Source organism: Homo sapiens, chromosome 18 (assembly GCF_000001405.40).
Source record: "Homo sapiens chromosome 18, GRCh38.p14 Primary Assembly".
Taxonomy (NCBI): Eukaryota; Metazoa; Chordata; class Mammalia; order Primates; family Hominidae; genus Homo; species Homo sapiens.
The window spans coordinates 14,697,234-14,711,232 of NC_000018.10; the positions used below are offsets into that span (position 1 = coordinate 14,697,234).

At 37.9% G+C, this 13,999-nt stretch overlaps 1 pseudogene across 1 annotated transcript in view; it reads left to right on the top strand.

The window, feature by feature from the left end:
- The window catches only part of GTF2IP8 (general transcription factor IIi pseudogene 8), a 63,889-nt pseudogene extending 54,517 nt beyond the window's left edge, over positions 1–9,372 (top strand). Inside the window, exons 6-9 of the transcript XR_007066431.1 lie at positions 2,794–2,929; positions 8,384–8,517; positions 8,984–9,167; positions 9,339–9,372. The product of XR_007066431.1 is annotated as a general transcription factor IIi pseudogene 8, transcript variant X1 (transcript). The remainder of the gene's footprint in view (positions 1–2,793; positions 2,930–8,383; positions 8,518–8,983; positions 9,168–9,338) is intronic.
- Positions 9,373–13,999: the final 4,627 nt, after the last annotated feature.

Genomic DNA, 13,999 nt, shown 5'->3' on the forward strand with positions numbered 1-13,999 from the left:
TTCTGACATATTAAATGTAAATGTTTTAAGCAGGAGTATGCATTTTCCTCCTCTTAAGTGGGTGAAAAGTATTTAGGTGGTGCTTAACCTCACAGAACTCTGTGTGACAAAGTTTGTGGATGCTTTTTTTTCATTTTTTTGAGACAGGATCTGACTCTTTTAGGTTGGAGGGCAGTGGCATGATCATAGCTCAGTGCAGCCTTGACCTCTTGGGTTCAAGTGACTTTCCTGCCTCAGCCTCCCATAGTGCTCAGATTACAGGCTTGAGCATCTGTGCTTGGCCATCTGTTTTGTTTTCTTATTAGGGCATTAAAAAAATGTTTTAAGAACTTTATAAAATTATCTCCTTAAAGAAATTTTAGAATGGTTGGTGGTTATATGTTGTTATTTTATGAATGACTTGTTTCTGCCTTGTGATCATAAAACCAGGCAAAATTTGTGACTTTAATGTTAAATAAAAATTTAGAGATGAAATGCTGTTCTGTTGATAATAAAATATTTTTTTTAAATATTGATCTCTGCAAAGAATACCATAAGGCCATGTAAGATCCATTCACTTCCTTAGAGTTTCTTAACAGTTCCCTCATCTTTGGCATAGTCATTTCACTATTCTCAGCTTTTATGTCTTCCTTGCCAGCATTATTAGTAAGACCATTTCTCCTCCTATTCCTAGTTGTATATTACACGGTATAATTAAAGTTGTAGAAACTGCTGAGTTTTTCACTGGCTTGTCAGAGTGCTAAGCAGATCCAAGCTGACTTTATCTCTTCCTTGGCTGGTAGACTTGTTTTATCTAATCTATGGATAGTACATGAATCTTGCTTACTCTTTCATAAACATTGCCTTTGTTGACAGGATTGTTTTAGAGTGTGGATACTGAAGCAAGAATGTACCCTCATTTACCACAAGGTAAGTAAATAATAGTTCCTTACAGGAGAGTAGCCACAGCACATGTCATGTAAGTGCAACGGAAGGAAATTACTGAGGCTCATCATTCTTCACGCTGGGGCAGTTGTTGGCCCACCTCCAAGTCAGAAGTTCTCTACCATGGCTTTATTATAGCTCAAAAGATTTCTGATCACCTCACTAGCTGCTAAATTAGTTACTGAGGATAACATTTTAAAGCAATATTATGCTGAAATAATCTCCATTTAAGAAATTAGAGGGCATTTATTGTACAAATCAAAAACAAATACTGGAAAGCTTACAGTTTTCAACAAATGATACTGAGAAAATAGGCTATTTGGTAAAAAGTAAAAATTGTGGTAAAAACAAGCTTCAATGTATAGTCTTCATCATGTGATGAGTTAAATTCTAGATGAGCAAAAATAGTTATACTGAGACAAATTTTAAAACCAAAACAAAATATATGTAATTATTGTATAATTATTTAATTCCATAAATGGCCTTTCTATGCCTAAAATAAGTGATGTACCTCTATGGGTCAGTTGGAGATACACTAACACATTTGATAAATAGACAAAAGAAATGGTAATTTGCAGAAAATTATGCTACGATACTCTTTAATTTTAACACCAATCAGTGGAGTATGTTTATGACACTAAGATACCCTTTTTCAAGGTTTCTGGAAAAGTCACATGGTAACATTTGCTAGGATATTATGAACCTTATTAGAAAGCAAATTTTAGTAGATTTTGAGTATTTGGAGTATTGACTCTTAATGGTTGTTTTTCTTGACTCTCATGTCTTTTTTGAGAAAGTCACTGAAGATGTACATAAATATTTGCTTCCCAGGTTATTACAGTAGTGTTATTTTTAGGAGGGAAAATTGGAATCACTGACCTTTGAAATGATGCTAGCACTAAAGGAATTATGGTGTATCCATAAAATGGAATACTATGTACTCTATAACATTTTTAAATAATTTGACTCTCATAGAAATATTCTTAGTGAAAGTCAGTAAGTAATCACCTAAATGTGATTCTGGCTATGTGTAGATGGGGTAATACTTCTGGAGGAGGGGATTATGTACTGAATACTGTAGTGTGGGTTTCAGTCCCTTCTTTCAATTCTGATGGCACTAATTTCCCCAGCTGCTGCGAGTGTTCGAGTCACCTTGTCCACCTTTTCCCTGGGGAGGGCCACACTGGCTTCTGAGCTCTTGGTGCAGCTGCATCCCTGTTCAGCACTTTGCCTGTTCAGCCATGCCTGCCTCCCTCCTCCTGGGTGCTGTTATTGGCAGTGCTCCCCAGCAAGCCTGTGTGAAATCTCAGTCTCTTTCTTGGAGTATCTGACCTGTAATAGATTACAAGGGATTTCTGCATTTTTTTCTTACAAATCTTGTGGTGTCTTTTGCTTAAAATCAGGCAAAAATCTATTTAGAAAGAGTAGTAACTTTAAAAAATGGTGTTAGATTTTTTTTTTTTTTTAAACAGAGTCTTGCACTGTTGCCCAGTCTGGAGTGCATTGGCATGATCTCAACTCACTGCAACCTCTGCCTCCCAGGTTCAAGTGATTCTCCTGCCTCAGCCTCCCAAGTAGCTAGGATTACAGGCATGAGCCACCACACCCAGCCTTTTATTTATTTATTTGTTATTATTATTATTATTATTTGCATTTTTAGTACAGATGGGGTTTCACTGTGTTGGCCAGCCTTTTCTCAAACTCCTGACCTCGTGATCCACCCGCCTTGGCCTCCCAAAGTGCTGGAACTACAAGGCATGAGGTGCTGTGCCCAGGCTTGTGTTAGATTTTTTAATTCATCTAGCAGAAATGGTGCTTTTAAATGTCTGCCTTTAACATAATATTTGCTGTTCTTATTATACTTTAAAGAACTGGCCAAGTTTAAGGCCAAAGTGGCCTGCATCACAGAGTATAAAGCAGATCTCTTTGCCTTCAGAACTGAAGGACAGAGGACACAATTTTTTCAATACCAGAAAGGATTTTCAAGCCGATTTTGTGAAATATTGTAAGCATTGTATTGTTATCATTTTTATTTCATTGTTTTTAAACCTAAATATTTATAGATAACACTAGTCATATTTGCTTCTAAAGCAGAATGAGGTTTAAACTATAAAAAAAATTTTTTTTTGAGGTGGAGTCTCATTCTGTTGTCTAGGCAGAGTGCAGTGGTGAGGTCTCGGCTCACTGCCACCTCTGCTTCCTGAGTTCAAGCAAATCCTCAGCCTCCTGAGTAGCTGGGATTACAGGCACGTGGCACCACACCCAGCTAATTTTTTTTTTCTATTTTTAGTGGAGATGGGGTTTCACCATGTTGGTCAAGCTGGTACTGAACTCCTGACTTCAAAAGATCCACTCACCTCGGCCTCTCAAAGTGCTGGGATTACAGGTGTGAGCCACTGTGCACGGCCTAAACTATGAATGATTTTCTGAAATGTTTATGAAGACATTTCAAAATGCTTAAAAGGAATCACTGAAGTGGTGATATGTCAGGGTAGATACTGAAGAGTTAAGAACAATGGCAAGTGTTGATTGTACGGGGCTCCTTGCTTGGCTTCACTCTGGATTAATGAGATGCATTAGAAGATAATGAAGGGAGAGAAATTTTGAATACATTAAACGTTCATACTCAGATATGGAGTTCTAGATAAAGGTGGTGAACTGAAAACAAGAAATTCACTGTGCAAAGGAGTTTGTTTAAGCATGATGCAGAATTAAACAGTTCTCAATTTGCTAAGTGGAATCACCTTATCTGAATCTTCAGTGGGTTTTGTAATCCTCGTTTAGAGCAATGAGCTTATTTGACATTGGAACACAGTATTAAAATTTACTATAGGGTGTTAATACTTATGGCCTTTCACAGTATGACAGTTTTCATATCTGTGTGTAACCTAACACTGTCGATAGGTTTCATGTTAACTGAGTGAAACACTGAAAGGGAACAAAAAAAGGCAGGGCGTCTATAGGCACAGAATACATACAGGCATAACTCATTTTTTTGAGCCCTGCAGATACTGCAGTTTTTACAAATTGAAGATTTGTGGGAATCTTGTGTCAAGCAAGTCTTTTGTGCCATTTTTCCAACAGCATGTGCTCTCTTTGGTTCTCTGTGTCACATTTGGTTACTCTTAGAATATTAGAATATTTCAAACTTTTTCATGATTATTATATGTGCTGTGGTGACCTGCGATCAGTGAGCGTTGATGTTACTGTTGTAATTGTTTTGGACTCCATGAATGCACCCATATAAGATGGCAAACCTCATTGGCAAATGTTGTGTGCTCTGACTGATCCACCAGTCAGGTGGTTTCCCATCGCTTCCTCTCCTAACGCCTCCCTAGTCCGTGAGACACAATATTGAAATGAGGCCAGTTAACAGCCCTCCAGTGGCCTCTAAGTGTTCATGTAAAAGAAAGAGTTGCAGTCTGCTCACTTTAAATCAAGTTAAAAATGATGAAGCTTAGTGAGGAAGACATGTTGGCAGCTGAAAGCTAGGCCAAACAGTTTGCCAGGTGGTGAATGCACAGGAAAAGTTATTGAAGGAAATGAGAAGTGCTGCTCCAGTGAACCCACAAATGATAAAAAAGCAAAACAGCCTTATTGCTGATACGGAGAAATTTTGAGTGGTCTGGATAGAAGGTCAAACTGGCCACAACATTCCTGTAAGTCAAAGCTTAATCCAGAACAAAGCCCTAACTCTCTTCAATTCTGTGGTGGCTGAGAGGAGGTGAGTAAGCTGCAAAAGAAAAGCTGAAAGCTAGCAGAGGTTGGCTCATAAGGTTTAAAGAAAGACACAGTCTGTATAATATAAAAGTGCAAAGTGAGCAGCAAGTGCTTGATGTAGGAACTTCAAGTTCTTCAGAAGATCTCGCTGAGATAATTCATGAAGATGGCTACACCCAAAAAACAGATTTTTAATGTAGACAAAACAGCTTTATATTGGAAGATGCCTTCTGGGACTTTGCTAGCTAGAGAGAATTCCATTACTGGCTTCAAAGCTTCAAAGGACAGGCTGAGACTCTGGTTAGGGGCTAATGCAGCTGATGACTTTAACTGAAGCCAGTGCTCATTTACCATTCCAAAAATTCTAGGGCCCTTAAGAGCTATGCTAAATCTGCTCTGCATGTGCTCTATCAGTGGAACAGTAAAGCCTGGATGACAGCATATCTCTTTATAGCATTGTTCACTGAATATTTTAAGCCTACTTTTGAGACTGACTGCCCAGAAAAAAAAGTTCCTTTCAAAATATTACTGCTCATTAACACTGCACCCAGTCCCTCTGAGAGCCCTGATGGAGGTTGTACAAAGACATGAATATCATTTTCATGCCTGCTAATGCAGCATCCATTCTGCAGCCCATGGATTTAGGAGTAATTTCAAGTCTTATGATAATTATTATTTTCTTTTTTGAGAAGGTCATCTTACTGTTGTTCAGGCTTGAGTGTAATGGCACATTCACAGCTCACTGCAGCCTCAGTCTTCTCAGGCTCAGGTGATCCTCCCACTTCAGCCTGCTGAATAGCTCGGACCACAGGTGGTGTACCAGCATGCCTGGCTAATTTTTGTAGGGTTTTTTTTTGCAGAGATGTTTTGTTTCCATGTTGTCTAGGCTGGTTTCAAACTTCTGAGTTCAAGCAATCTGCCCACCTTGGCCTTCTTTAGAGCTTGGGATTACAGGTGTGAGCCACTGCACTCAGCCTTCAAGTTTTATTCTTTAAGAAATATATTTTGTAGGCCAGGCGTGGTGTCTCATGCCTGTAATCCCAGCGATTTGGGAGGCCAAGGCAGGCAGATCACAAGGTCAGGAGATCGAGACCAGCCTGATCAACATGGTGCAACCCCATCTCTACTAAAAACACAAAAATTAGCTGGGCGTGGTGGTGTGTGCCTGTAATCCCAGCTACTCAGGTGTCTGAGGCAGGAGAATCACTTGAACCAGGAAGTCAGAGGTTCCAGTGAGCCGAGATCGCACCACTGCACTCCAGCCTGGCAACAGAGCAAGACTCCATCTCAAAAAAAGAAATAATTACATTTTGTAAGGCCATAGCTGCCAGAGATAGTGATTCCTCTGATGGATCTGGGCAAAGTAAATTAAAAACCTTCTGGGGAAGATTTACTGTTCTAGGTGCCATTAAGAACATTTGTGATTCATGGGAAGAGAACAAAATTAACATTAACAAGACTGGTGGAAGAAGTTGATTCCATCTCTCATAGGTGACTTTAAGGGGTTCGGGATTTTAGAGGACGAAGGAACTGCAGATGTGGTGGAAATAGCATGTGAACTAGAATTAGAAGTGAAGCCTGCTGGCTGGGCACAGTGGCTCATGCCTATAATCCCAGCACTTTGGGAGGTCAAGGTGGGATCACCTGAGGTCAGGAGTTTGAGACCAGCCTGACCAACATGGAGAAAGCCCATCTCTACTAAAAATACAAAACTAGCCGGGCATGGTGGTGCACGCCTGTAATCCCAGCTACTTGTGAGGCTGGGGCAGGAGAATTACTTGAACCCAGGGGGCAGAGGTTGCAGTGAGTGGAGATCCTGTCATTGCACCCCAGCCTGGGCAACAAGAGTGAAACTCTGTCTCAAAAAAAAAAAAAAAAAAAAAAAAGGAGCCTGCAGATGGGACTGAACTGCTGCAATTTCATGATCAAACATGAACAGATAAGGAGTTGCTTCTTACAATGAGCAAAGAAAGTCGTCTCTGAAATGGAACCTACTCCTGGTGTAGATGTCGTGAATATTGTTGAAATGACAAAAGATTTAGAATATTCCATAAATTTACTTCATAAAGCAATGGCAGGCTTTCAGAGGATTGATTCCGATTTGGAAAGAAGTTCCACTGTGTGTAAAATGCTATCCAATAGCATCATACCTCCCAGAGATCTTTTGTGAAAGAAAGATTCAACTAACTTTTAAATGCATTGGGAAATGAAGACATTTGTGTAACTTCACTTTATACTTCCATGATTATGGTGGTCTGGAATTGAACCTACGGTATCTCCCACAGATGTCTGTATGCCACTAAGCTTTAAACTTAAATTTGCGTTGTCAGATTAGATTCAATTCATGATAAATTGAGCACATTACTAGTGAATTAAAAATTTTGCTAATTCACTAATTCCTATTCCCAGTAGTATTTTTAGTTTCTTAAAAAAACTATCCTCGCCACTGTATCCCTCCCCTCACCACCTGTGTTATAATCTTCCAAGCTTTATGGTAGTAACCTATTTTTTAAATTTTGCCAATATTTTAGTTTTGAGAAATGTTAAGTCCTTGATTGTGTGTTTCTTTATACTAATAATGCTGTTTTGATTGTGTGTATCACCTGCCCTCTGACCCACAAATACCACAATCTCGCGGGCAGCTGTGTTTATTCTCCCCTCCCTGTGCTCCGTGGCTTACATGGTTCTCCACTGATTCGAACTAAGCCTTAGGGGAGTTGTCCTCATTGCGAGTTGTAGTCCGCACCTATTGGTATTTATAGTTTGTTTACATTGCTACTAATTTGATACCATGGAGAATGGTTTTTGTACCTAATTCTCAAGTACCTTTTATTTGTTTGCAATAGTGTTCTTCTGAAACATAATCAATAGTTTCATGAGGAAGTTGTAGAAATTCTTCAGGAGAATTCTGAGCCCTTTTCTAGGATTTAGTGAAGTGCTATTACATAGAACTAAATATAATGCGAGTCATTCACATGATTTAAAACTTTCTAGTTATAACATTAAAAATACAGGGAAACAAGTGAAAATCATTTAGTGGTAATACTTTAAAATATTTCAATGTGTGATCAATATAGAAATTATTAATGGGATATTTGGAATACTTTTTGTGCTGAGTTTTCAAAAGTCAATGTGTATTGTTCACCTACAGCACATCTGAATTTGGACTGGCCACATTTCAAGTGTTACATGTGTCTAGTGGTTATTGTGCTGGACTTTGTAAGCCTAGAATTTGTTTCCTGATGATAATCTTCCCATATTTAAATTTATAGCCAATAAATTACTCTTATTTTACCTTTGTATTTTAAAAGCTCCCTTTAAGATCTTCCCCTTGCCTTTTTTTTTTTAAACACAGGGTCTCTTTTTGTGACCCAGACTGGTATGTAGTGGTAAAATTATAGCTCATCGTAACCTTAAATTCCTGGACTCAAGCAATCCTCTTGCTTCAGCCTCCAAAGTAGCTAGGACTACAGATATGCACCACCACACTTAATTTTATTAATCTTTTTTTATAGGGATAGGTTGTTTCTATGTTGCTCAAGCTGGTCTTGAAATCCTGGGCTCAAGCAATTCTGCCTCAGCCTCCCAAGGTGGTGGGATTATAAGTGTGAGCCACTTCACTTGACCTATTTTTTGTTTGTATAACAGATCATAAATATTGGAATATAGGAAAAACTATTTTTACTAAAAGCCAAATAAATATTAAGAAAATAGATATGCACCTGAATATTTTTTACAGGTGTTGAAGAAGAAGAAAAGGTTGCAGAGATGTGTAAAATAAAGTCTACAACCCAGGTGAATCAGATGAGTGTAGATGTTGTAGAAATGGCAACACTCGGAAAAAAACAGTTGAGGACTATTTCTGCTTTTGCTGTCTTAAAAGCAACACACTTAAATTTTATAAAAGATACCTGATATAATAGAGTTTTTAAAGGGTAGACTATGTTATGTCATTGACTTAACAATCATATAACAACATTTTCACAAGCTGAATGGATGAGGAATAACCTTACTTTCCACTTCCTTTTAGGAGGAACCCAAGAAATACGCCAGGGTAGGACCATCTTAAAGACAATAATGCAAGAAATCAGACATCTCTCTCTCTTTTTGTGTAGTTTTTAAAGTCAGATATTTAATATACTTTACATTTTGGCCCTTTGGATCGGTGTCAGGTTTAGAACTTCTTACATGTGAATAGGGTGCTGTAGTGTTAAGTAATTTTAAAACCACATGTTACAAAAGATCACGTATGCCTTTATTAAGCCACAATAAGGTAGTGATGATTTTGTTTTTTAATCTTAAAATTTAATGACATTTATCTGCTTTTTGCCTCTCCCAGGGAAAGCTTTACAAAAACCCACAGAGGTACCTGTACCATATGAGAAGATGCTACAAGACCAGTCAGCTTTGATAGTACAGGGGCTTCCAGAAGGTGTTGCCTTTAAACACCCTGAGAATTATGATCTTGCAACCCTGGAATGGATTTTGGAGTACACAGCTGGGATTTCATTTATTATTAAGAGGTGAGGTGCTTTCTCCCTTCGTGCCCATCAATGGTTTATTCATATAAATTTGAATATTCAGCTTATGTTAATATAGTTTAAAAATTCTTGGTTAAGACAATTCATTTAAATTCATGCTGTCATTAATTTTATGTATTCATGTGTAGTTTTATTAGATTTGTTTTATTGCAGATCTTTCTTAGAGCCAAAGAAGCATCTAGATTAGTGATTGCTTTGCTTCCTTGATAGCTGGCTGGCTTCCTAATCCCCTTTTGCTAGATTTAAATACACTTTAATGGTTTCTCTTTTATTTTCTTTGAGAATATGATGTAAGACATTTTCCTATGGGCTGCTTAGATATTTATATAATCCAAGAAAAGTTCATTGAGCTGAAAAAGTAGAGACTTGTTTTTTGTTTTCAGATCAGCTACTTGTTTTCTACATAAGATCATAGATCTGCGCCCACTTCCAAGCATCATGAGTAGGATTAATGACCTAATGTCACTGAATAGGCATGGCATTTTTGGGCACAGCTTTGGGTGGGGAGGGGATGCACAGCTGTGTATAAGCATTATGGCTTTGGAGGGCTCGGAGTCTCGTGGAAGGGAGAAAAGTTTGTAAAATGGCCATGGCAAGAGCCTCACATCCCTGCTGTAAGACTGGTTCAGAGAAAGTGCTGCGAATGTTCATTAGGGGTTGGATTCCTATAGTTCAGGAAGAATTTCATGAGGAAGAGGGCATTTACATGAGCCCTTGGGGAATGAGAAGGATTTCAGCTTCCTTTAGGGAAGTTTAGCCATTTCATTTGAAGAGAAAAAATGATAGAGTGGTACCTTTTGGAGTCAATTTTTTTTAGACTTTTGAAATAACAAATATCATTGGAATACTCTTCACAATGTAAGGATAAAAGGGAAAATAATATGTACATAAACACACACATTTTGTTTTCTGTTAACCTTTGTTTTATTCTCATTGTGGTGAAAAGGTTAATTTTTAGCAGCTTTATTGAAGTATAATTGATGCACCATAAAATTCACCTGTCTGAAGTATTTAATTCACTGATAGTAAATTTAGAGTCTTACATTTTTTTAAATGATTTTGCAACAATCATCACAATCTAATTTTAGGATGCTTTTATGACCCCATCTCTGAATTATGATATAGAAATTGAGTACATAGTGTGTTTCCTATTGAAATTAGTTTTTTTTCACTGAGCATAATTCACCTCAGGCTCAGTGGGCTTGTTGCGTGGATCAGTAGCTCCTTTTTATTGCTGAGCATTAAGTATTCTATGAACATACCAACTGTTTAATCATCACTTGATGATTCTGTTGTTTTCATTTTTTGCTGTTATGAATAATGCTACAGTGACCATACTTGAGCAACTTTTTGTCTGGACATATACCTTAGTATCTCTTGTATATATACCTAGGGGTATAATTACTAGGAATAGGGTACATTTACACTGAACTTTTAAGAAACTGACCGGTTGTTTTCCCAAGTGGCTGTACCATTGTATATTCCAGTAGCACATTATGAAGGTTCAGATTCTCCACATTGCTGCCAACTTACTGTCTTCTTGATGTTAGCCATCATAATAGGTGTGAAGTGGTATCTCATTTTGGTATTTTGTTTTGTTTTGTTTTATATTTCTCTAGTGACTATTGATGTTGTGTTACCTTTTACTTTTTTTTTTTGAGACAGGGTCTCACTCTGTCACTCAGGTTAGAGTCCAGTGGCATGATCTGGGCTGAGTGCAGCCTCAACCTTCCTGGCTCAGGTGATCCTCCTGCCTCATGTCTTGAGTAGCTAGGACTACAGGTGTGCACCATCATACCTGGCTAATTTTTGATTTTTTTTTTTTTTTTTGTAGAGATGGGGTTTCCTCACATTGCCCAGGCTGGTGTCAAACTCCTGGGCTCAAGCAATCCACCTGCCTAGGCTTCTCAAAGTGCTTGGATTACAGGTTTGTGTTATCTTTCAATGCGCTTATTGGTCATTTACAAATTTTTTTGCAGTAATGTCTACTTAGATCCTCTTCCCATTTTAAAATTGGGTTTGTCTTTTGTTGAGTCATAAGAGTTTTTTACATAGCCTCAATATAAGTCCCTAATTGATTGATGATTTTGAAAAAATTTGCATGTGAGACAGGATGTCACACTTTCATGCAGGCTGTAGTGTAGGATTTGGAAATATTTTCTCCAATTCTAATAATTCTACATTATTCTTAATATATAAGTTGTCTTCTCCCTTGCTTGGTAGTATCGTTTTGAGGCAGAAAAGTTTTTAATTTTGATAGAAACCAGATTATTCTCTTGGCACTTGTGCCTTTGACTTCATTTTTTTTTTTTTTTTTTTTTTGAGACAGTTTCGCTCTGTCACCCAGGCTGGAGTGCAGTGGCATGATCTCGGCTCACCGCAACCTCCACCTCCTGGGTTCAAGCGATTCTCCTGCCTCAGCCTCCTGAGTAGCTGGGACTACAGGCGCCCGCCACCACACCCGGCTAAGTTTTTGTATTTCTAGTAGAGACAGGGTTTCACTGTATTAGCTAGGATGGTCTCTATCTCCTGACATCGTGATCCACCTGCCTCAGCCTCCCAAAGTGGTGGAATTACAGGCATAAGCCACTGCATCCAGCCTTGACTTCATATTTAAGAAACCATTGCCTAACCCAAAGGCATGAAGATTTTATTTTGTTTTACTTTTTTTTTTTTTGGTGACATGTCTATGTAAGTGTCTGCCCATTTAAAAATTGTGTTTTTCTTCTTTTACGAGTTACAGGAGTTCTCGATATGCTCTGGATACAAGTCTTTTATCAGAAGTAAGATTCTGCACATACTGCTTCTGTCTGGCTAGTTGTTTCATTTTCTTGGTGGTGTCCCTTATTGCTCAAAAGCTTTTGTTTTGGTGAAATTCAGTTTTTCAAGTTTTCCTTTTATTACTATGCTCTTGGTGTTGTATCTAAAGAATCTTTGTCCAACCTAAGGTCACAAAGGTTTAGACTTAGATCTTCTTCCTGAAATTTATAGTTTTAGCTCTTATGTTTAGGGGTAAGATCCATTGTGAGTTATTTTTTGCACATATTGTGAGGTAAGAGTTTAAAGTCACCATTTTGCATGTGATGTACCAGCAGCATCTGTTGAAAAGACCATTCCTTCTCTGCTTACTTGCCATAAAACCTTTTTCAAAAATCAACTCTTGGGCTCAAGTAGTTCACTCAACTTGGCCTCCCAAAGTGCTAGGATTACAAGCATGCATCACCGTGCCTGGTACTAGTTTGTATATTAAGGGATTTATAGCTTATATGTTCCTTTAAGCTATATAACCTGTCTTTAGGTTATATGTGGGGTCCAAAAATTTTAATCATATGAAACACAATTTTACATTGTTGAAAAATAGTCAATGTCTCTGGGCTTAACCTCTTGCAGAGGGTGGGAGCCAGTTGTCAGTTGCATTATATCTGAATTCTCACTGTTGCAGATCCTGCCATTGTGGGGCTTTTAACTATGCTTTCACATGAGTTCAAAAAATATCTTATGGCTCAGTGTGATGACTCATGCCTATAGTCTCAGCACTTTGGCAGGCTGTGGCATGTGGATTGCTGGAGACAAGGAGTTAGAGACCAGCCTGGGCAACACGGCAAAACCCCACCTCTATCAAAATACAAAAATTAGACAGGTGTGGTGGTGCATGTCTGTAGTCTCAGCTACTTAGGAGGCTGAGGCAAGAGGGTCGCTTGGGTCCAGGAATTGGAGGCTGAAGTGAGCTAGGATTATACCATGGCACTCCAGCCTGGGCAACAGAGCAAGATTCTATCTCTAAAATATAAAAATTTATATTCTACAGTGAATTTCATATTTAGGATTTATCCAGAAACACAGGATAATTTTATAAAAAATCTTAATTCATTTTCTCATATTATTGAACTAACTAGAAATAATGTATCATCTGGGTGTCTCATGAAAAAGCAGCAGAAATCCTTAATATAATTGGTTGGAATATTATTGCAAAGGCCAACCCATTATTGTCTAATAGTAAACCACTAGAAGCATGCTTCATATGAAAAAGATACACACTCCCACCAGTTGCTCATCAGTTTCCTAGATGTATAAACCAGTACAGATTAGTTGCAAATAATTAGAAAGTAAAGGGCACATCTTGTTTTGCAGGTCATATGATTGTATATGTAGGAAACCAGTCAGAATCATTTAGAAAATGAATAAAATCCAAACATTTATAATCTGACATTACTTTTAATAAATGTTAAAATCCAGATATAATAAGACTTTAGATTAAAAGCAGGTGAAAAAAGAAACACTTCAGTTTCTTGAAATGTTTCCTGAGCCTACCTTTAACTAAAAATCGAAAAGTTTTGTATGGCAAAACCATCTAAAATGTGTCAAAGGACGTGTAAGAGAAAGGGTAGGCTATTTGCAAGAAAATGACAAAGGGTTTGATTTACGAAGAACGAATCCAGGCTGGGCATGGTGGCTTACACCAGTAATCCCAGTCATTGAAGGGCCAAGATGGGAGGATTGCTTTCACTCAGGAGTTTGAACCCAGCCTAGGCAACAAAGGAAGACTCCATCTATATGTTGTTTTAAAAGAAGCAAGCCACAAAATAAATGAGCAGAGACTCAAGAAATTCTCAATCTCGTTAAAGAAGTGGGGATAACAATCTAAGAATGAAAATGTTTGACACCTAGCAGGTTGGCAGACAGTAAATTTTGCTTATGCTCAGTCTCAGCAAAGGGTTTGGAAAAACAGGCAGGTTAAGACATTGTTTATGTGCATATAAACTGTAGCTATCTTGTGCATGGTACGTTGACAATATTTATTATTTTAAGATGCA